The sequence below is a fragment of the Homo sapiens genome, chromosome 5 (assembly GCF_000001405.40).
Source record: "Homo sapiens chromosome 5, GRCh38.p14 Primary Assembly".
Classification (NCBI taxonomy): Eukaryota; Metazoa; Chordata; class Mammalia; order Primates; family Hominidae; genus Homo; species Homo sapiens.
Window position 1 is genome coordinate 175,114,427 of NC_000005.10, and position 22,489 is coordinate 175,136,915.

At 40.4% G+C, this 22,489-nt stretch overlaps 2 annotated features.

The window, feature by feature from the left end:
- Positions 220-514: a silencer, noted in NCBI's record as "tiled region #3886; K562 Repressive non-DNase unmatched - State 22:ReprW". NCBI's record gives its function as "represses a minimal TATA promoter and a strong SV40 promoter by Sharpr-MPRA in K562 cells {active_cell/tissue: K562}" and the evidence as "EXISTENCE:reporter gene assay evidence [ECO:0000049][PMID:27701403]".
- Positions 8,610-9,809: an enhancer, noted in NCBI's record as "CDK7 strongly-dependent group 2 enhancer chr5:174550039-174551238 (GRCh37/hg19 assembly coordinates)". NCBI's record gives its function as "activates an origin of replication core promoter dependent on BRD2, BRD4, P300/CBP, MED14 and CDK7 cofactors, with strong dependence on CDK7, by STARR-seq in HCT116 cells {active_cell/tissue: HCT116}" and the evidence as "EXISTENCE:reporter gene assay evidence [ECO:0000049][PMID:35650434]".

Here is a 22,489-nt window from a genome sequence, read left to right on the forward strand (position 1 = left end):
GGCTAGATGGCAGCAGATTTGTGAATGCCTAGCAGAATGACTCCTGTCATAAACAGAAGCAAATTTCTTATGTGTCTTATTTCCCTATACCTAGGATACCTAGTAGGGTCCCATTCACACTCTGCATCTCTATAGCCACTTATCATAGCTGAATATTTAATTTTTACTGCAAACCTTCAGGAGTAAAGTAAGACTTTTGATGCCCTGTTTCTGGAAAGAGACTAGAAGGTATAGTCTCCTACCTGGGATGTCAGAGTGAGTCTCACCAAAGTCAGACCTCAAGTCCAGTTTGAGCCGGACTTATCAAGGCAAACAGGGATTTAATCAATGCAAGCTTATGACCTGCACTTACTAGGAATTCCTCGGTCATGGGGAATAATTGCAATCCCCAATCCCCATCACGAATAGGGTTCAAGAGTTTACCAGCGCCTGCTGGTGTAGGGGAGGCACACACTGAGCCAGTTGGTGTAGTGCACGTGCAGCCCCAGATATCTATGAGCGTCACAGACCTGTTATTGCCCAATCTTGGGTCACTGAACACCACTTGTCCTTCTAAGAAGTTGGGGGATGCCGACTGCTCAGGGATCGTGTAACCAGTCACCATGTCAGGGTCTGGTTCCTTATCAGAATTAACCAGACAAATCACTCCACCAACTAAGAATGGCCATGCACCACCACCCACAGAATCGAGAAAGAGCTGTCAATCTGTCAATCCCGTCCTTGTCCAGGCTGGGTGAGGTTTCCCGTGAAGTTTCCAGGTAAGGACTACAGGCTGCCTCCATTTGCATGCTGTCTGCCCCCCACATTTGTGTTCCTCTCCAGGGCATGAGGTCACAGTGGAACAGAAAACCTGTGAGACGTGGCATCAAAATCAAAGTTCAAGACCCAAACCTGCCACTTCTAAGAAGTTTGCCCTCAGGCAAGTCACTTCATCTGCCTGAATCTCAATTAAGATTCTTCTAAGAATCATAACTGGGGGAAAGTCCTAATTTCAACCTCTTAAGGTTCATGTAAGAATAAAATCAGTCTGTGGATCTGAGCCTGCTTGCCGATAATAAAAATACCACAGAACATTTATTAAAAACTTAAAATATTCCCGGCACTGGGCTAACCTCTCTTCATGTATTATCTCATTTAATTCTCTCGACAACTACCAATGGCAGGTGCTATTATCATCCTAATTTTACAGATGAGTAAGTTAAAATAGGTGTGTAATGTACCCAGAGTCACACAGATAGAAAGAGGAGACCCTGAAGGATCCCAAAGCTTAGTCAACCTCAGCTGAGCTACAAAGCCCTGTTTATGTGGATATTGGTGATTTCACCTTAGGGGATGGAACTTAGAATGCCACGCTTAGCTCTTCTTTTTTCTCTTTTTTCCCTGTTTTTTTCTTTGCTCTATTTTTTAAAGTCGTACAATAAAATGTGCCCTTTTTATGTGCACAATTCTGTGAGTGTTGACAAACGAATATAGCCGTGGAGCCATCAGCAGTCAAGACTGTTCACATCACCACCAGAAACTTCCTTTGTGCTGCATGGACATTGACCTCTCACCTGCATTCCCTTGCAACCCTGACTGACTCTTTCCCCTGAGGGTTTGCATTTTGCAGAGCCATGTAAATGGAATCACAGAGTTCGAGACCTTTTGAGCCCAGCTTCCTTCACTTCACACAGGCGTTTGAGAGTGGTCCGTGTTATTCCATGGATCAAAAGTTTGTTCTTGTTGCCGAAGCGTATTCCATGGCACACACGGACCTCTAGCTTTCCTTAAGGAGTGATGGAAACCCTCTATTTCCCAGTAGCTACAGGCCACCTGGTTTCAGGAATTTGGGCTCCTGAGATCTGAGCAGGAAGCTGGTTTGAGAGGAGAATCTGCGTTAGGATAGAGAAATTCCTTTCCCTCTTACTTCCAGTCCTGACTCCTCCTGAGAGCCAAGGTAACACTTGGACCCCAAGTGATCATCTGGAGGGTAAAGGATGGGCACTGGGTGTGCTGGGGGGGGGGGGGGCAGCTCGGCTATGGGCACAGAAGTGAGACACAGCACATTGTGCCTGCAGGTGAGCTTCACTTTGCCTTCCTCCTCTCCCTTTCTCCTTCCCAGCCCATTTGCACTCCTGTCCTATTTCTTCTTTCTCACCAGTAAGGGCTGGAAGGATGGGCTTCCAAGGTACCAAAGAATCTGACTTTACCACTAGATTAACCCCTCTATTAACTAACCCACTGCAGATTTTACAAATCCCTTGGCACCATGGCTCTGGAGTTGAGCTCTGGTCTCAGGGTGCTGCTGTGACAAAGGATGCCACAGCCCACAAATTGCAGCCACTAAAAATAGGCCAAAGTCACCTGGTCTCACTTCTTTAAGTACACGGCTTCTGTGCTTGATCAAAACACCTAGATAATTAGCTCTAAAAGCCTCATTTGAGGGAGGAGGTAGGTGGGTGGGCTGCCCGTGGGAGGGAAGGCACACAGAAAAGAGAAGCTTGTTAAAATGACAACTCTGTAAAAGAAATGGGGCAGTGAAAGGAGCAGAGAGGGGAGGAAAAGCAAGGAAAGGAGTCTTGGAAGGGTTGGGAAGGAGGCTTTAAAAATAGTGATGCTGTCAGAGGAAGTAAGACGGAGGTCAGGAGGCAGGCAGCCCTTTTCCTGGGTGAACTGTCTGGAAAGGAGGCAGAAGCGAGCACGACACGTGGGAGATGCGGTGTGAAGAAAAGGTTATGGGCTACCCACTCTCTCCTCCTGTAAGTGGTATGGCCGTTCACTCTGTTACCTGGGTCCAAGGCTAAAGTCAAACTCACTGCCTCTTCCTCCCTCTCTCCATGGCTCATGGATTCCTCCTTATCTGCCTCCTAAATTTCTCTCCCACCCGTGTGGTCTACCCCATGCCATGGTCACTCCCCAGAGGCTCTCCCTTGTCACCTCTCACCTGGGTATTTCAGTGGCCTCCAGGTCATCCACCCTCTGGTCTCTCTCTTCCCCCCATATATTTCCTGTATTTCAGCAACAAATCTGTTTCTGCTGGAAAACTCTGAGAGGCTCCCAATCGCCAGCTGGAGATTCCAGACTCCATAGGGAGACATTTCCCACTCCTCTGAACATGGTCCCAAAGTGACCATTCTAGGACGATTCCTCTCCAACTCCAACCATACACTCTCCTCTTGGGTCATAAACTGTTGGGCCATGACCTAAATCTTGGGCATGTTCTCTGGTCCCTGGACATTTCAAATATCTGAGTATTTCAGATACAATTTTTACCTTCTTTTGAAAAATTGGGGGACCCAGAAGCACTGAGCCCACATTTTAAAATGGTAGCACTCTGGTTGGCTCCAGCCCCCACCATTCTCTAATGTCTGATGCTAGGTTGGTTTCATTCACTTTCATTACCTTTTTGGTCCTATAGACAATGGATCTTGAGACCCCCGACTCTATACTAACTGCAGCAAAGGATTAGAGGTGGCAGTCTGGCACCAAGCCCCCACTGGCTCTTGATCTCCATAATACATGATCTTTGTCATGGTGAACTCTTTCTCTATGCCAGCTGTGATATAAGGTACTGGGCACAGAGATGGGAAAAACACTGCTTGCCCCTGTGGGCTCCAACCAAGCACTTTGAGACCCTTATATCTCTGTTCATGCCATTTCCTCTTTCCAGGATGGCTTTCTGTACCTTTTCCATCAGCTAAAGTGGGCATCCTGAATGAACTTTTCCTGATGCCCTCTGTTAGGATTAGCCCCAGGAACCAGGCCTTCTCCATGGCCTCATGATATCATGCTCAGTCCCACCTAAGGCCTCATATCTGCCTTTTTTTAAAATTCTATTCTAAATTTGTGAGGATTAGAACCTATATCCTATTCATTCATTCCCCCTACCCAACTTTCACACATCCCCAAGATTCATTTTTTGCACATAAGAAGTGCTCGGTAAAGTTTTAAATGAGATTGATTCAGAAACACCTAAAATCCTTAAACTAATTTTTTTACACATGTAAAAAAAATGCTCATCCCCAATTTTTCTATCCTTGCATTACAGAGACATCATAGAAGCCTGAGAAAGCATTTTAAAGTGCAGTAAAACCTTTCAAATTTGAAATAGTTGAAGAGTGTGGAGGAGTGAATATAAATACATTTTATATATTTACATATGTATGTATAAAAGATTAAGTCTGAGGTTTTTAAGAGAACAAATCATCTTTCAGTTTTAGATGTGACAGTATGTCTGCATACTTGAACTAACCTTGGGTTTCAGAACTTTGGGGTAAAATTGTCGAGTAGACTTTTCCTCCAACACCCCCCAACTCGTCTTTGTACCCTTAAACATTAGAAGCTGAGTAAGTTGCCCCAGGGGTCCAGATAAATCTCCCCTGGCTCCCACTGCAGCATCCCTTTGGAGCATGGTCCCGGCTTTCCCAAGAGACAACCTGTTATTCAGCAAGCCTTCTAGGCTGTAAGACCCAAGAGGGGAAGGACCATATTACATTCCTGCTGTGCACCCTGTTCCCACCTAGGAGGGCTTTGTTAACCAAGTGAATCCACATGAGAAAAGGAGAATGAATACTCTGGAGATATGGCACCCACCCTGATTTAATAAACCACAGAGACACAGTGCTTTCCTCTGACAAAATGGCTCTATGATGATGCAGATTTCCAAAGCTGGGGTAGACCAGGAAGAGATGTGTTTGCAGGCCTGGGTGTGTGAGTCGGGGGTGAGGGTGGAGGGCTGCATGGGAGCCCCAGGTGGAAGGGGCAGTAGAGTATGTCTCTTGGTGTGCTTTTTAAAATAAAACCAGCCTGGGCATTTGATCTTTGAATAAAATTTTGCCTTACAAAATCATTTTTTCCCTGCTAATGTATTGATTAGTGACATAAAACTCTTGGCAGGATCCTGGACATATTTTATTACACAATTGTTCTATAACTGTTTTTTACTCCTAAGAAGAGAGTCACAGAATTTTCATTAAAATTATGAAAACATCTTTAAACAATCATAGAAAAATTTAAAAATTAGACACAATTCCACTGTTCTATTACATGAGTCATCTCCATTTTTCTGCATTTTCTTCCAGTCTTTGTTCATATGCAGACATAATTGTACATATCCCAAAAAGAAACTTGTATTATTTACTAATCATGTATCATTGTAACATAAATATTTTTAAATATTGTTTGATAGTTTTTATAATTATAATTTGCAATAGCTGTAGAGTGCATTTCAATAGGTGATGTTGCAGAAGGTATTTAACCAGTTCCCTGTAGCTAGACGTGAAAAAATTTTCCTACTGTGAAATAATAACAGTATTTTGATTTTTTTTTTTTTTTTGAGACAGAGTCTTGCCTTGTCACCCAGGCTGGAGTACAGTGGTACAAGCATAGCTCACTACAGCTTCAAACTCCTGGGCTCAAGCCATCCTCCTGCCTCAGTCTCCCAAGTAGCCAGGATTAGAGGCATACACCACTGTGCCAGAATTTTTTTTTTCTAGAGACAGAGTTTCACTTTCTTGCCCAGGCTGGTCTCAAACTCCTGGCCTCAAGGGATCTTCCTGCCTCAGCCTCTTGAATTTCTGGGATTACAGGTATAAGCCACCACACACCACATTTAAGTTTTTAAATGTGGTCATTTATGTTATAGCAGCAAGAAATGCTCTCCAAGCTAAACATTAAACTTAATGTACTTCTTTATGCCTCATAAACTGGGTTAGTTTCTTAGGGCTGCCATAACAAAGAACCAAAAACTGCTTGATTTAAACCAGCAGTCTCCAACCTTTTTAGCACCTGGGACTGGTTTTGTGGAAGACAATTTTTCCACAGACCAAAAGGGTGGGGGTGCTGGTTTTGGGATGATTCAAGCATATTACATTCATTGTGCACTTTATTTCTATTATTATTACACTGTAATATATAATGAAATAATTATCTAGCTCTCCATAATGTCAAATCAGTGGGATGCCTGAGCTTGTCTTCCTGCAACTATACAGTCCCATCAGGGGTGATGGGAGACGGTGACAGATCATCAGGCATTAGATACTCATAAGGAGTGCGCAACCTAGATCCCTCACATCTGCACTTCACAATAAGGTTCACACTTTTATAAGAATCTAACGCTGCTGCCAATCTGACAGGAGGTGGGGCTCAGGTGGTAATGCAAGCAATGGGGAGCGGCTGTAAACACAGATGAAGCTTCGCCTCCTCGCCTGCTGCTGCTCACCTCCTGCTGTGTGACCTGGTTCCTAACAAACTACGGACTGTACCAGTCTGTGGCCCAGGGGATGGGGAACCCTGGTTTAAACCACAGAAAGGCATTCTCTCAGAGCCCTGGAGGCCAGGCCAGAAGTTGGAAATGAGGTTGCTGATATCCCTCTGAAGTCTCTGAGGAAGAATCCTTCCTCTCTTCCTCACAGTTTCTGGTGGCTCCCCAGCGTCCCTCACTCCAGTCTCTGCCTCTGCCTTCACATGGCATCCTCCCTGTCTGTGCATCTCTGTGCATCCCGTCCTCTTCTTATAATGGCACCAGTTATTGAATTTAGGGCTTGCCATCTAGGATGATTTCATCTCAACATCCTTAACAAATTACATCTGCAAAGATTCTATAGCTGAGTAAGGTAACATTTACAGATGCCCAGGGGTTAGGACCCGCATGTATCTTTTTGGAGGGTACTATTAAGCTCTCTCTACGATACCTTCTTGAAAACCTCTTCAAATCCCTGGTACTATAGTCAGGAGCCTGGGAGTGCCCATATCCTGCCCTTTCGGCCATTACTGTTCTTCGCAGAATCCTCGAGAGAGACAGACACAAAGAACGGTAATCAAATGGACCACAGCATGCCGGTTTCTACTTGCCAAACAGGGCCCTCTAAAGAAGCTGGGCTGGAGTGGAATGTCTGACATTTGGCCTTTACCATCCCCTTTACCAAGCCACATGAAGAAAGAAGACAGAAGATGGATGCTCTGTCCCAAGGGGCCATTTCTAGCCCCGCCTGCTCTCACAGCCTCATGGAAGAGAAAAGTGGAAGAGGGAGATGCCAGTGACCAAAGGATCATCAGCTTTGCTCACTACCTCTGAGATGTGGAGCAAAACAGGAGGCCACTGAGAGGGAACAGGGCCAAGAAAGGCCCAATGCACAGAGACTCTGCCCTGATAAATATCTTGCAATAACTGAGCAGATCAGCCACCTCTTCCCCTTAAGGGAAGGACACTGGAAAGGTGTGGCAAGAAAGGCAGGCAGATGAGGAAATGACTTCTCCTAGAGTGATGGTAACACAATTACACAATTGCCATCCATGCATGTACTATGTAGTGTGCATTTAAAACAATTTCATATGCACATTTCTACGTATCTAGTCTGTATGCTTGTCACTTTCAGTAGCTAATAAAACAGCATCAAGAAACTCAAGGCAAAAAGTCATGACCATCTCAACAGATGCCAGATATATACGTAATGAAATCCAACACTCATTCCTAATTAAAAAATAAGATAAAAACAAACCTCAGGGAACTTGGAATAAAGTGAAAATTTTATAACCTGATGAAAAGCAGCTACCAGAAACCCCTCAGAACATCATCCTTAGTCCTGAAACATTAGAAGCATTCCTGTTTAATACAGGGCTATTACAAAGATGTCTGCCCAGACCAAGACTGTTTCACAGAAAAAGTATAAATACCAGAAAAGAAAAGACCATTGCAAGTTACAGATGATTTGCTATCAGCTAAAAATTCAAGAGAATCAACTGAAAAAACTACAAGCATCAGTAAGGGAATTCAGTAAGTTCTGTAGTTGAAATGTCTGTGTATCCCCAAGATTCATATGTTGAAATCAAAACCCACAAAGTGATGGTATTAGGAGGTGGGGTCTTTGGGAGGTGAGTGCAGGGCCTTCATGGATGGGACTCATGCCCTTATAACATCCTAGAGAGTTAGCTAGCCCTGTCAACCACTTTAGGATACAGCAAGAAGACATGCTCTCTAGACCAGGAAGTGGACCCTCACCAGATACTGAATCTGCTCGCATCTTGATCTTGGACTTCCCAGCCTCCACAACTATGAGAAGTAAGTTTCTGTTATTTATAAGCCTCTCATTTTATCGTATCTTGCTATAGCACCCTGAATGGACTGAGACAGTAAGTTAGCCAGATCCATCCATCCCACAAATATTTCATGAACACCTACTATGTGCCAGGCATATTTATATATATTCTTTCAAAGAATCCAGAACATGGCAATGAACATAATAAAGTTTCTCCCCTCATAAAGCTGACATTCCCCTGTAAACAGTTAACATTTAAAAGAATGACAAGAAATACCCAATTAAAAATGTAATGGCAAAAAAGATCCAATTCACAATGCCAAAAAGAAATCTAAAACCTCTGGGAATGTATCTATCAGGAAAGGTACAAGGCCTACGAAAAGAACATTTTAAATATCATTGTGTTGGCCAGGCACAGTGACTCACGCCTGTAATCCCAGCACTTTGGGAGGCCGAGGCGGGCAGATCACTTGAGGTCAGGAGTTCGAGACCAGCCTGGCCAACATGGCAAAATCCCGTCTCTACTAAAAAAAAAAAAAAAAAAAAAAAAAAAAAAAATTAGCCAGGCGTGGTGACGCATGCCTGCAATCCCAGCTACTCGGAGGCTGAGGCAGGAAATTTGCTTGAGCCTGGGAAGCGGAGGATTCAGTGAGCCAAGATCATGCCACTGCACTCCAGCCTGGATGACAGAGCGAGACTCTGTCTCAAAAAAAAAAAAGTCATTTTGATAATGACATTAAGTAAAGATCATGTTAACCCTCATCATGCTGCCATGATGGTGGTACTGTTGTTACTCTTCCTTGTTTTACAGGTGAAGGTCCAGAGGCTACGAGAAGTTACAGTCAGGAGTGGAGCAGATGTCAGGACCTTGACTACCAGACACCTGGGCTGAGAATGCAGCCACTGCACCACATCGCCTGCGCCATGCCTTTTATTCTATCCCTCAGCTTTGGTCTCCCTACAGGAAAAATGGCAATGCTCACACCACTCTCCCATCTTTGTCATGAATGAATGAATGAAATAGTATATTTAAGGCACTAACTCAAGGGCGTTAAGTACATACTTGGTAAATACTAGTTCCTTCATTCTAACCAGGAGAGGAATTGAGCTCCCTGAGTCTTTATCAACACATTCTATGGCATAATGAGAGGGTAAGAGAAGTATTTTCATCATGATCAATCAATACAAGGAAAAATAACTTCAGGAGGCATGTGGGAGAGAGGTGGGCTTTTAAGTGGGTAAAACCTCTATTATACTGACTCGCTTAATGACTCACCGAGCTGTTTGATTTGAGAGACAGCAAATCCGAGGGATGTAAAATGCCGATCTTTCTGAGTGGCAATTATTTGTGATTAAATCACAGTGTCTTCTGAAGGAAGGAGGAAGTCACTTTGTCTCCAGAGTGAGGTGAGTCATGGAAAATATCACTTCCAGGAGAGAAGGAAAAAGCCGCAAGTGCAGTTGAAGAGGCACAGGTACCCCGATAGACACTCAGGGAAGCCCCCAACTCCCGAACTAGTCCCAGGAGTTGACTGTGTTCTTATTTTGCTTTCAGTGTATATTAAATAAAATTAGGAAAATTCAGAAAAGAAGGAAACAATTCTCAGTCCCAGCACCCTAATATACCAATACTAACATTTTGATTTATTTCCTTCTAGCTTTTCTCCCTCTCTGCATGTATCTCTTTCTTTGTTTTCATTATTGTAATCTTCCAGTTTTGTACATGGTCTCAGTGTGAGTAGAAAAATCATAGGATTAGAAACCAGAGATTAAATTTCATCACTTACCAGGTGTCATCTCTGAACTTTAGTTCTCTCTTCTATAAAGAGGAATGATAATACCCACCCAAAGCTGTTGTCAGGATTGACAGATAATATAGATACATTGCTGGCATAGAGTAGGCACTCAATAAATGGCCTGGTCCATCCCCTGTGACTCAGAACATTCTTTCTGGTTGCAAAGGAAGAGCTGATCTCTCTGGCAGCAGGAAGGGCCAGACATGAGGCTACTCCAAAAGACCTCTCAGCCAAGGTCAGGAAAACTCTACATAGAGCCTTGCCCAGATTTAGCCTCAGTTCTTTTCCATCTCCAAAAACCTCACTCCTGCGCTCAAATTTCAGTAGGAGAGAACCTGATTGGTCAGCTCGGCATCAGATTTGGACCTGTGGTCACTCAACCATGGCTGGAGATGAAGATTGACAGGATCATAGCCAAGCTAGTCATGGTGAATCGATAGCCAGTTTAACCGCATTATTTCCACTGATATTTTAATGTGATAGTGTATCAAAGGATTTTTTCAAGTAACTACCCTTTGCTCATGACCCTCATTTTAATGCTCCAGAAGTCAGTCAAGGCCATGGACTGCTATTTAGTGGTATATTTTCATCGTTGAAGAGCTAAATTATTTCTAGAATGATACCTTTTGTGGGGGATCGTAATAAGTATGGGTTTAATTCTTGAGGAATTCCTAGAAACTACCCAGCCTTGAAAGTAATTGAGTCCCACATCGCCTGAATGGATTGATCCATTCTGCAGAGTGTTTGATTCCCCCATCCTCTGAATGGACATGCCCATCCTGCCTTCCTGTCCTGTCAATGTGCCAGTGCTTTCATGATGTTTTCTGATTTCCTGCCAAGCAGTCTATGGAACAGTAGACAACATATGACTTACAGAACAGAACGTGACCCAGGTCTTGCCTACAGGTAACATGAAAGCATTCTTTCTCAGCTTTAAACTGAGGAGCAGACAACGAGAAAAATATTTGGTGGCTGGAAGTTTGTGAGACTTCATTATCTAAAGCACATTGGGATTTGGGAATGTAAAGAGGATCTTCAGGCATTTCTTATTTTTACAAGTAACCTAATGGAAATAGTAGTCTCTGAAATCAAGGCTGCACTCACCAATGAGTAACTGGATTTTTCTTAGGGCTAAGATTTGATCTACACTGGTTACCTCTACCTACTCAGAATCTCAAATGGCAGAGCTTAGTATTTTTTCATGATTAAATTATTTCTAAAACTGGAAAGTAAATTCTTTCATTCTTTCTAACTTTCAAAACACAGGCTGAATGATAGTGATGCTGTTCTAAAACATATGGTGTTTCCAGAGAGGAAGCAGGGCTTTTTGGAGACAGAAAGTTTGAGAACTGCTGATTTCAATTGTTCTGCTATCCATTCACTCAAGAAGCATTTGGGGAGCCCTTTCTACATGCCCAGATCTTTTGCAGCCACAGCCACTTCCCTCCCTTCCCCTCTCCTTCACCCCTGACTACCACTCATTTGTTCTCTGTTTCTATTATTTGTCATTTTCAGGATGTTACATAAAATAAATCACATTGTACCTAACCCTTCGATAGTGATGTTTTACACTCAGCATGCCTTTGAGATCCATTGAACTAGTTCAGTGTTAAGCAGTTCGTTCTTTTTTTTTTACTGCATAGTATGCGATGGTATGGATATACTACAATTTATTTGACCATCACCCATCAAAGGACATCTGGGGTGTTTTCAGTTTTTTGTCATTATAAATAAAATTCCTAAGAACCGCTCATGTGCAGGTTTTTGTGTGAACATAAGTATAATTTCTCTGAGATAATTGCGTACGAGTGCCTGCAGGCTTTCCCCACCCCTTTTAGGCCATTCCTTTTCTTTCACCCCTTTTTTTTTTTTTTTTTTCCAGAAGGAGACAAGCTGATTCCATTTTTTTAAATGGAAATTAAGGAGTGTAAAATAGCCAGTCTTGAAAAAAGAGAACAAAGTTAGAGGACTTATACTGCCTCAAGGTTTACTATAAAGCTATACTAATTAAGACTATTTATACAGCATAAGCATAGATACGTAGATCAATATAGAGTCCAGAAATAGCCCTACACAATGGCCACTTGACTTATGAGGGAGGAGAAGGCATTTTCAATAAATAATGATGGAGCAACCAGATACTATGTGGGGAAAAATGAATCCTGACTCATATCCTGACACTATATATAAAAATTAATTTGAGGCGGATTATAAACCTAAATTTAAAAGCTAAGCTTATACAAATTCCAGAATAAAATATAGGAGACTATCTTCTCAATAATGAGATAAGCAAATATTTATTAGGGCATTTAAGAAGCACTAAATATAAAATAATGATAAATTAGACTTCATCAAAGTTGAGAACAGCTGCTTTTCAGAATATGCCATTAATAAAGCAAATATGTAAGCCAGAGAATGTGAAAACTGTTTGTAATATATATGTCTTTCAAATGACTCATATGCAGAATATATATATATATATATATATATATATATATATATATATATATATGTTTTTTAAACTACACAAAAGAGAATGAAATGGTAATACACTTTTGTGAGGTTCTAACACTATATTAAAAGTGGTATAATATTACTTGAAGGTGGATTATTATATTTTAAAGATGTATAATGCATATCCCAGATAAATCACTAAAATTAAAGAATTATTGCTAATAAGCTAATTGTGGAATCAAATGAAATCATGAAAATTATTCAATCCAAAGTAAGGTAAGAAAAATAATTATCAAAGGGAATATGGGACAAATAAAATAGACATAGCAAGAGGGTAGATTGAAATCCTACCAGATCAATAAGCACATTAAATGCAAATTATCTACGTAGTCCAATTGAAAGGTAGAACTGTCAAGGTGGATAAAAAACAAGACCAAACCTTTGTTATCTATGAGAAACACACTTTAAATATACAGATAAAGGGAGAGTAAAAATAGTAGGTTGGAAAAAGTGATGTGATAAAAACATTAACCCAAAGAAAGCTAGAAGTTGATGTATAAAACAAAGTAGACTTCAGAACAAGAAACACTATCATGATATTCATAATTATTAAAGAGTCAATTCATTAAGCACACATAGCATTGCTAAATTTCTATGTACCTAAGAAAAGCTTAACTATATACATAAAAAAATGGATAGAACTGAAAGGAGAAATAGCCAATTTCACAATTACAGACAGAGATATTAACTCTCAGTACTTAATAAAACATGTAGATGGAAAATTAACAAAGATATAGAAGATATAAACAATACTCTTAGCCTATATGACCTAATTAGTACTTATAAAGCACTCCATCCAACAACAATAGAATACACACTCTTTCAAGTACACGAGTCATTCACTGAGATAGACCACGAACTAAACCAATAAATGTCAATAAATCTAAAATAATTTACATAACTTAAAGTATGTTCTCTGCTCACAATGCGGTTAAACTAGAAATAAGCAACAAAATGTTAGTTGGAAAGCGTTCAAATATTTAGAAATTAAACGACACATTCTAAATAATGTGTGGGTCAAGAAAGAAATCACAAGAAAAATTAGAAAACATTCGAGCCAAATGAAAATGAAAACACAGCATATCAAAATTTGTGAGATGCAGCTAGGACAGTTCTTAGAGGGAAACTTATAGCATCACATGCTTATATTAGAAAAAGAAAAGGCTCTCGAGACAATTATTTAAGCTTCTTAGAGAAAAAAAAGAAAAAAATCAATCCAAAGGAAGCATTAAAATGAGTTAACAAAGATAAGATCAGTAATCAACAAAACCAAAAAAAAACCAAACAGAAAATTGATGAAACCCTAAGCTGTTTTTTTTAAGAAATTTAATAACATTGTTAAATTTGTCACACTTATCAAGAAAGAAAAGAGAGAGCACATAAACTAACAATATCAGGAATGAAAGATGCAACATCATTACTGAGTCTACGGAACAGAAATTAAAAGCAATAATAAGAAAAGACTGTGAAGTGTATGGCGATAAATTTGACAACTTACATATAATGAGCAACTTATTTTAAAGACACAGACTGCATAAATATTAAAGCTCACTCAAGAAAAAATGTATTTAACAAAGTTATGAAGGGAGACAATAGAAAAAAAAATTTAATCGACGTGAAACATCAAGAAACAAAAGGGGCAAAAAACAGCTGGACAACTAGAACCTAATAGTGAGATGGCAGAAATAAATCCAAATAGATCAGTAATTTTTTAAATGTAAATAATCTAATATTTGAATTAAAAACTAAGATCACCTCACCATACCAAAAAAGCCCCTCAACTGTATCTTATTCACAAGAAACACACCTTAAATAAAAATGTTAAAGTTTGAAAAGGCTAGAAGGATGCATACTGTATTTATGAATAAGAATAATCATTCTGTTAAAAATATCAATTATCCTCAAATTAATCCATAGACTTTAGTAAAAACCCTAATAGAAATTTTTTATAGCACTTCAGAGTTTTATGCTAAATTTATATGGAAGATCAAAGGGACAAGAACAGGTCTGATTTTCCAATAAAGTGGAATGTGAAGGACATGCCCAACCAGATATTGAGACCTTTGTAAAGCTACACTAATTGAGGCTGGGAATGTACTCTTAGGGATGGAGCTACAGTTCAAAGGCAGAGAATAGAAAGACCTATCCTAGACTCACTTATGTATGGAAACTTGACATATTAAAGAGATGGCATTGCAAACTGAAGGTGGGGGAGACAATTGAATAAATTGTGCTGGGAGAATTCATTATATATATACATAATATAAAATTGGATTTCAACATTATCACGCTCAAAAATCATTTCCATTTGGATCAATGGTTCTGAATTAGGTTGGGGAAGGGAGCAATTTCTCCCTACTTTGTGACTGAAGGCCTAAAATCAAGGATCAATATTTTGTGCTGCCTTGATACTTGGTAAAATTGGGAGGGTCTTGAATGGCCTAGTTGCAAGTTCCCCTCACCACCCTCGCTAAACAACTTTCTTTATCAAAGGCACCAGACACAGTTCCTGCTTATCTCTGAGTAGCAGGTTTCAGATCCCTACCAGCCAAATACATCCTCCCATGGGAACCAGGGGGCACCCCACCCACTGATACTACAAAGCCCCTGGTTGTTTACTCTGTTTCTGAGTGCAACCCCTGCGTGGCCCTGTGTTGCGTGCAGCATTCTCCTCACCTGGGCTGTGAATATATGTGACTAATAAGCCCATCTCTCCAGTATTAGGTGTGATACGTTTGGTCATCCTCATAATCCTAGGGCCTGAATCCCTCGGTCACCAACAGGGTGAAGAGGAGGCAATTAAAACATACTCCACCCCTCACTTGAGTATGATCACCAGATAACATACTGGACATACAGTTACTTTTGAATTTAAATAATACATAATTTTTTGATGTAACTATGCCTTAAATATTACATTACTTATACTAAAAAGTATTTGTTGTTTATATGGAATTCAAATTTGACCCAGTGTCTTGTGTTTTTATTTGCTGAATCTGGCAGCCTATCTCCAGCGAATATAATGGCAACGTCTTGGGACCATTTTCACTGTCACTACTGTGGAGTGAGGAGAGGGAGCAGTGCTACTGACATCTAGTGTGTAGAGATCTACGATGCGCAAGGAATCCCCCCAAAACAAAGAATTCCAGAGCCCAAAGTTGCACTAATACCACTACTGAAAAACCTTGATATAGAAAAGGACTTACATATGAAATACAAATCTTTAAAATTTTTAGATGTCAATGAACAAAAACTTAAAACACAATATAGGAAATATACTTCTTATCATAGAACAGGAAATAAAGTTCTAAATAAGACTAACATGTGCAAAATCTAAAAGAAGAAATTATAAATTTAACTACATTAAAATGAAGAATAACTGTTTATCAGACAACATTACAAAAGAGTCAAAGGAAAGCCACTCACTTGGAGAAGATGTTAGCAACACATATAAGTGATAAAGTGCTTAGATCGAATGCATCAAGATTGTTAACGAACCAATAAGAAAATAACAAACAACCCAGCAGGAAAAAAAAAAAATAGGCAAAGATCAGAAAGGTATTTCACAAAAGCATAAACACAAATGATCCATTAACAAGTGAAACAATGATTTGCATTAGCATAATCAAGAAAGTACAACTTACAAATGTCCACTCTATGTTGGCAAAACTTACAAAAGAACAAAGTCTGAATATGCTAAAATTAACAAGGAGGATAACAAAGATAAATAGAAATTGTCGTAAAAGACTTATGGTGGTGTAAATTAATAAAACCATTTGGAAAGCAATTTACTGTTACCTAGTTATTTTGAAGAATCATATGACCCTATAACCCTTTTAATTTTATTCCTGGGTATATACAGGTTGAGTATCTCTTATCCAAAATTCTTGGAACCAGAAGTATTCAGATTTAGAAGTTTTCCAGATTTTAGAATATTTGCATATACATAAAAAAATGTCTTGGTGTTGGGACCCAAGTCTAAACACACAAGTCATTTATGTTTCATATACACCTCATATACGTAGCTTGGAGGTAATTTTATACACTATTTTTTAATTCTTTTGTGCATGAAAGTTAGTGTTAAGTAGTTATATGTGGAATTTTCCACTTGTGGTGTTATGTTAGCGCTCAAAATTTTCTGATTTTGGAGCATTTTGGACTTCAGATTTTCAGAGTAAGGATGCTCCACCTGTACTCTCAATAAGATTGTACTTGTGTCCCAGTTCATAATGGCATTTCATGTAATAGTAAAAAATTGTTTTAAAAAAGGAAATGGATACATAAATTATGTTTTAGGTTTGCCCTAGAATAGTACACATCTGTGAAAAATAAATGAATTACAGCTACTTGTATCAACATGAATAAAGCAAGTCGTAGAGTATACACACATAGGCACACACATGCATATATATAAAACAATTCTATTCATATATATATATGTGTGATATGTTTCATAGTTTTAAAAACACAAGAGATTCACATTTTCATACAAAAAGTTACCAGTATTTCCAGGGAAAAGACCCATCCCTCCCTCTCTGAGCCTGGGACTCGATTTTTTCTGGAAATATTTAAACTTCTCCAGGATACACCTTACTCACCCCTCCTCACTCCCTTGAGGCCCTGCCACAAGATGGGACAGTGTGACAATCAGATCTTCCGATGGGTGGGAGGAAGGTGGGAGAGTCAGATGAAGACCACTTGTGTCCAAATTCTCCAGGAGCTGACTGGCCTGAAAACCACATGAAACCTTCTCGGTAAATTTCCTCACAGCGTCTGGAAAGCCGCGGGCAGCGAAATACACCTCAGGTCTGACCTCCCACTGGCTGATGATCCGCAAGATTCCAGGCTCCCTGCGTCTTTCAGGACACTCCTAAAACTGGGTTAATAGCCTCTACCTGGTCTCCCCCGTGTGCTACTTCCAGCTTAACTGAAAAGTTTAAAATCAAATAGAGGCTTTGTCTACCAAATTCTTTCACCAGGCACTAGAGAAAACCATCAAAGGGATGCAAATGTGTCTACCACTTAAATTGTTTAAATTCCAAATAACTTTTTCTGTTGTTGTGTTTTTATTACTTAACTAAGCAGATGGTCATTGGGAAGAAGCTGAAAATTCAAATACGTACAACAAGGATGAAGACAGAAATGACCAGTTTTACCCAAATCCGGATGAAATCATTGTCAGCACTTGACATGTGTCATTCATCTTCTATGGATATATATTTATACACCTGTGCATTTAAGTAAAAAGTCATTCATTTTGTACACAATTTTAAACTGATTTTTAAAAGCTACCTTTTAAAATTACTGTGGATTTCTCTCTCTGTCCTTAAGTCTTCTTTTGCAGCATCGTTTTAACAGCTATACAACCATCTCCTTCATCATTTCCTTATGGTAGGACATTGGTTATTTCTGATTTTTTTCACTCATACAGTGTTGAAATATTTTAACAAGATCCTTGTTAAATTAATATTTTATTAAGATCCACGTGTGCACATTGTTATTTTCTTTCTTTCCTTTTTTTTTTTTTTTTTTTTGAGATGGAGTCTCACTCTGTCCCTCAGGCTGGAATCAGTGGCGTGATCTCTGCTCACAGCAACTTCTGCCTCCAGGGTTCAAGCCATTCTCCTGCCTCAGCCTCCCGACTACAGGCGCCCGCCACTACGCTGGGCTAATTTTTTGTATTTTTAGTAGAGATGAGGTTTCACCATGTTAGCCAGGATGGTCTTGATCTCCTGACCTCGTGATCCGCCTGCCTCAGCCTCCCAAAGTGCTGGGATTACAGGCATGAGCTACCACGGCCGGCCCACACTGTTATTTTCTTTAGACAGATTCCTAGAGGTTGAATTTCTTTCATGCAAGTATGTGTATATCCAACTTTCTCAGGTTCAAATTCCTCTTAAATGAGATCACGCAAGCAAAGCATATAACGCAGTGACTGGCATATGCTAAACACACAGGAAGTTATCGAAAATAGTCTAGCTATGTTCTGGACACTGCACATGCACTTCACATGTATTACCTTTTACAACTGTGATCAACTTTGTAAGGTGGATGAGGAAATGAACTCAGAGAGGTTTAGTAACTTGCCCCCATTGCACGGCCCAGAGAATCAGGATTCAAACTGAGGTCTCTTTGATGTAGAGAGAAGGGCACTGTGCCCTGGCATATCTTCCTCATGGGTCCCGGGGACAGCCCCAAACTCTCCTTAGGCAACTAGAGGTGAATATAGAAGGTCACATACACATTTCTCACGTCCAACTTCTCTGAGCGCCACTAATCTGAAAGCTGCATCACATGTTTATCTTTATCTTACTTATTTGTATTTGTTACTTACTGAAAGGACAGAGGCTGAACAAGCAATGGTGGCCTCTTCAGGCTTTGAGAAATGACAGCCATCTATGCTAGAGAATAAAGACCTCCACAACCCAATTATTTTTAGAGGGCTCCATGAAATCAGGCGAATTTCCCCCATGCAACTGAAGTCATGGATATGACATTTGGAGGTGTTCTCCCCAAGCAGAGATTTTTTTTTTTAGTCCTATTTAACATTCTGCCGTGCTTCACTATCTCTTTTTCTCTGGAGCCAACAACTTTCCTTTCCCACCTCATTTTCTTCCTGGCTCTCCACTGGGAGGCAGCCTGGTTTCTCTAGAGCCAATGGCTATGAGACCCTTGCATTTCCCACACTGAGAGGCATGATCTCCTCAACAGCTCCCTGGTGCAGCACTCTTAACAGATATGATACCCAATTCCAATGAGAGAGTGGGAGGCGTGGTCTGTCATGCACAGGTTATCAAAGCATCCATCGGAGAGTGAACGGGCAGGCTTCTCAGAACATCACATGCACAGCCTGTGACTTGTCAGTCCTTCTCCCGCATTTCTACTCTGGAATGGTAACCATCTTACATAAATGACAGAAGTCTAGGTTAACACAACGAACTTAGTGTCACCATCAATGAGAGTTAACCAAAGTATTGCACTGTAGTATTATTATTATTATTATTATTATTATTATACTTTAAGTTTTAGGGTACATGTGCACAACGTGCAGGTTAGTTACATATGTATACATGTGCCATGCTGGTGCGCTGCACCCATTAACTCGTCATTTAGCATTAGGTATATCTCCTAATGCTATCCCTCCCCCCTCCCCCCTCCCCCACCCCACAACAGTCACTAGAGTGTGATGTTCCCCTTCCTGTGTCCATGTGTTCTCATTGTTCAATTCCCACCTATGAGTGAGAACATGCGGTGTTTGGTTTTTTGTCCTTGCGATAGTTTACTGAGAATGATGATTTCCAATTTCATCCATGTCCCTACAAAGGACATGAACTCATCATTTTTTATGGCTGCATAGTATTCCATGGTGTATATGTGCCACATTTTCTTAATCCAGTCTATCATTGTTGGACATTTGGATTGGTTCCAAGTATTTGCTATTGTGAATAGTGCCACAATAAACATACGTGTGCATGTGTCTTTATAACAGCATGATTTATAATCCTTTGGGTATATACCCAGTAATGGGATGGCTGGGTCAAATGGTATTTCTAGTTCTAGATCCCTGAGGAATCGCCACACTGACTTCCACAATGGTTGAACCAGTTTACTGTCCCACCAACAGTGTAAAAGTGTTCCTATTTCTCCACATCCTCTCCAGCACCTGTTGTTTCCTGACTTTTTAATGATTGCTATTCTAACTGGTGTGAGATAGTATCTCATTGTGGTTTTGATTTGCATTTCTCTGATGGCCAGTGATGGTGAGCATTTTTTCATGTGTCTTTTGGCTGCATAAATGTCTTCTTTTGAGAAGTGTCTGTTCATATCCTTTGCCCACTTTTTGATGGGGTTGTTTGTTTTTTTCTTGTAAATTTGTTTGAGTTCATTGTAGATTCTGGATATTAGCCCTTTGTCAGATGAGTAGGTTGCGAAAATTTTCTCCCATTTTGTAGGTTGCCTGTTCACTCTGATGGTAGTTTCTTTTGCTGTGCAGAAGCTCTTTAGTTTAATGAGATCCCATTTGTCAATTTTGGCTTTTGTTGCCATTGCTTTTGGTGTTTTAGACATAAAGTCCTTGCCCATGCCTATGTCCTGAATGGTAATGCCTAGGTTTTCTTCTAGGGTTTTTATGGTTTTAGGTCTAACATTTAAGTCTTTAATCCATCTTGAATTGATTTTTGTATAAGGTGTAAGGAAGTGATCCAGTTTCAGCTTTCTACATATAGCTAGCCAGTTTTCCCAGTACCATTTATTAAATAGGGAATCCTTTCCCCATTGCTTGTTTTTCTCAGGTTTGTCAAAGATCAGATAGTTGTAGATATGCGGCGTTATTTCTGAGGGCTCTGTTCTCTTCCATTGATCTATATCTCTGTTTTGGTACCAGTACCATGCTGTTTTGGTGACTGTAGCCTTGTAGTATAGTTTGAAGTCAGGTAGTGTGATGCCTCCAGCTTTGTTCTTTTGGCTTAGGATTGACTTGGCGACGCGGGCTCTTTTTTGGTTCCATATGAACTTTAAAGTAGTTTTTTCCAATTCTGTGAAGAAAGTCATTGGTAGCTTGATGGGGATGGCATTGAATCTATAAATTACCTTGGGCAGTATGGCCATTTTCACGATATTGATTCTTCCTACCCATGAGCGTGGAATGTTCTTCCACTTGTTTGTATTTGAAACAGAAAAGAAAGCAAGTCCGGTGGCAGGAGAGTTTTGGTCCAGCATATTATGGAGGCTGAGATGAGAAATGGTCTCTGTGCCTCCCGAGGACCCCCTACCTTCCAACTATGGCCACATGATATTTTGAAATATGAATCTATATTATTTTTCTTCCTACATTTCCTCCTTTTCTTTCCCTTATTCAGGTAAGTCATCAGCTGGATGCTGACTCATTGCCTTGGGAATGGTATGTTTCAGGGCAGAAAGCAAAAGTGGTCTACAAGACATCCTGGCTATTGTATTCAAAAGCTAGGATCTTAACAGAGCTAGGAGAATTTTGTGAAAGATCTAAAAGGGAGGGCACACAAGGCATAACAGAGCCTTGTAACCAAAGTTGTGGACATGGAGCTTCCCAAACCTCAGAATAGGAAGCGAGGCCCCTTGCATGGAAGAAGAGACAAAGAATTCTGTGGGTCGTGTCCAAGTGACTTGAACACCACTTCCCAGACGTAACAGCAGGGAGTCAGCAAGGCCACAGAGAAACGGCCAAAAGGAACAAAAGAGAGCATACAGGCATCAAAGGAAAGTAGTAAGAGGCCACCGCCTGAGGGGGGCTGAGCACAGGAATGAGGGCTCACCCAGCAGTAACCTGTACAGACTGCCGACCTGGGACAAGCGGCTCTGTCTCCCACCCCTCACCCATTCCAACCTTCCCACCCTAAGATTCCTTGACACTGCATAAGTGTTTGGTGGGAATGACAAAAAAGCACAAAGTTAAATTTTCTTGCAGTCAGTCAGACTGGAGACTTAGAGTCAAAACTCAATTACGTTATGGAAAAGAAAGTGCTATTTCTGACACATCTGGGGTTTGGACTGAGATGTCTACCTATTGCTCCTTCCTTCTTTGCGCGTCACACCCTGCAGAGAATATGATGCTAGGTGTTTTGCAGAAGACGAAAGACCAAAGCAACTAGTGATGACCACAGCCTGCATGGGTTGAAGAAGAAATTGGCTGATACGTTCAAACTCCACGTTGCTGTGCTGGTTCATTCTACGCAAGGCTGGAACTGCCTCCTCAAATTAGTTGTTTAGCTGCTCTAAATGACACTTAAACTTCTACAGAGGAAACTAAATTTAGTTACTCCCCATAAACACAGTTGTCTGGTTGATGGGAACAAGAACAAGCATGGGAACATGTTTTCAGAAATGTTTGAATAATATATGTCAAGGCAGTAACGCCGAAGCTCTAAAAAGACAGAGCTTTGCAGGGGGCAGGTTTTCACACTGAATTTCAGAGAAAAACAACTATAGGATGACCTGACAATAGGATGAGAGAGAGAGAGATCATTTTAGTTTGATATTTCTGCCTAAAGTTAGTGAAAAGCAGAAGAAAGCAACCAGGAGAATCCAGTCTATCATTGTTGGACATTTGGGTTGGTTCCAGGTCTTTGCTATTGTGAATAGTGCCTCAATAAACATACGTGTGCATGTGTCTTTATAACAGCATGGTTT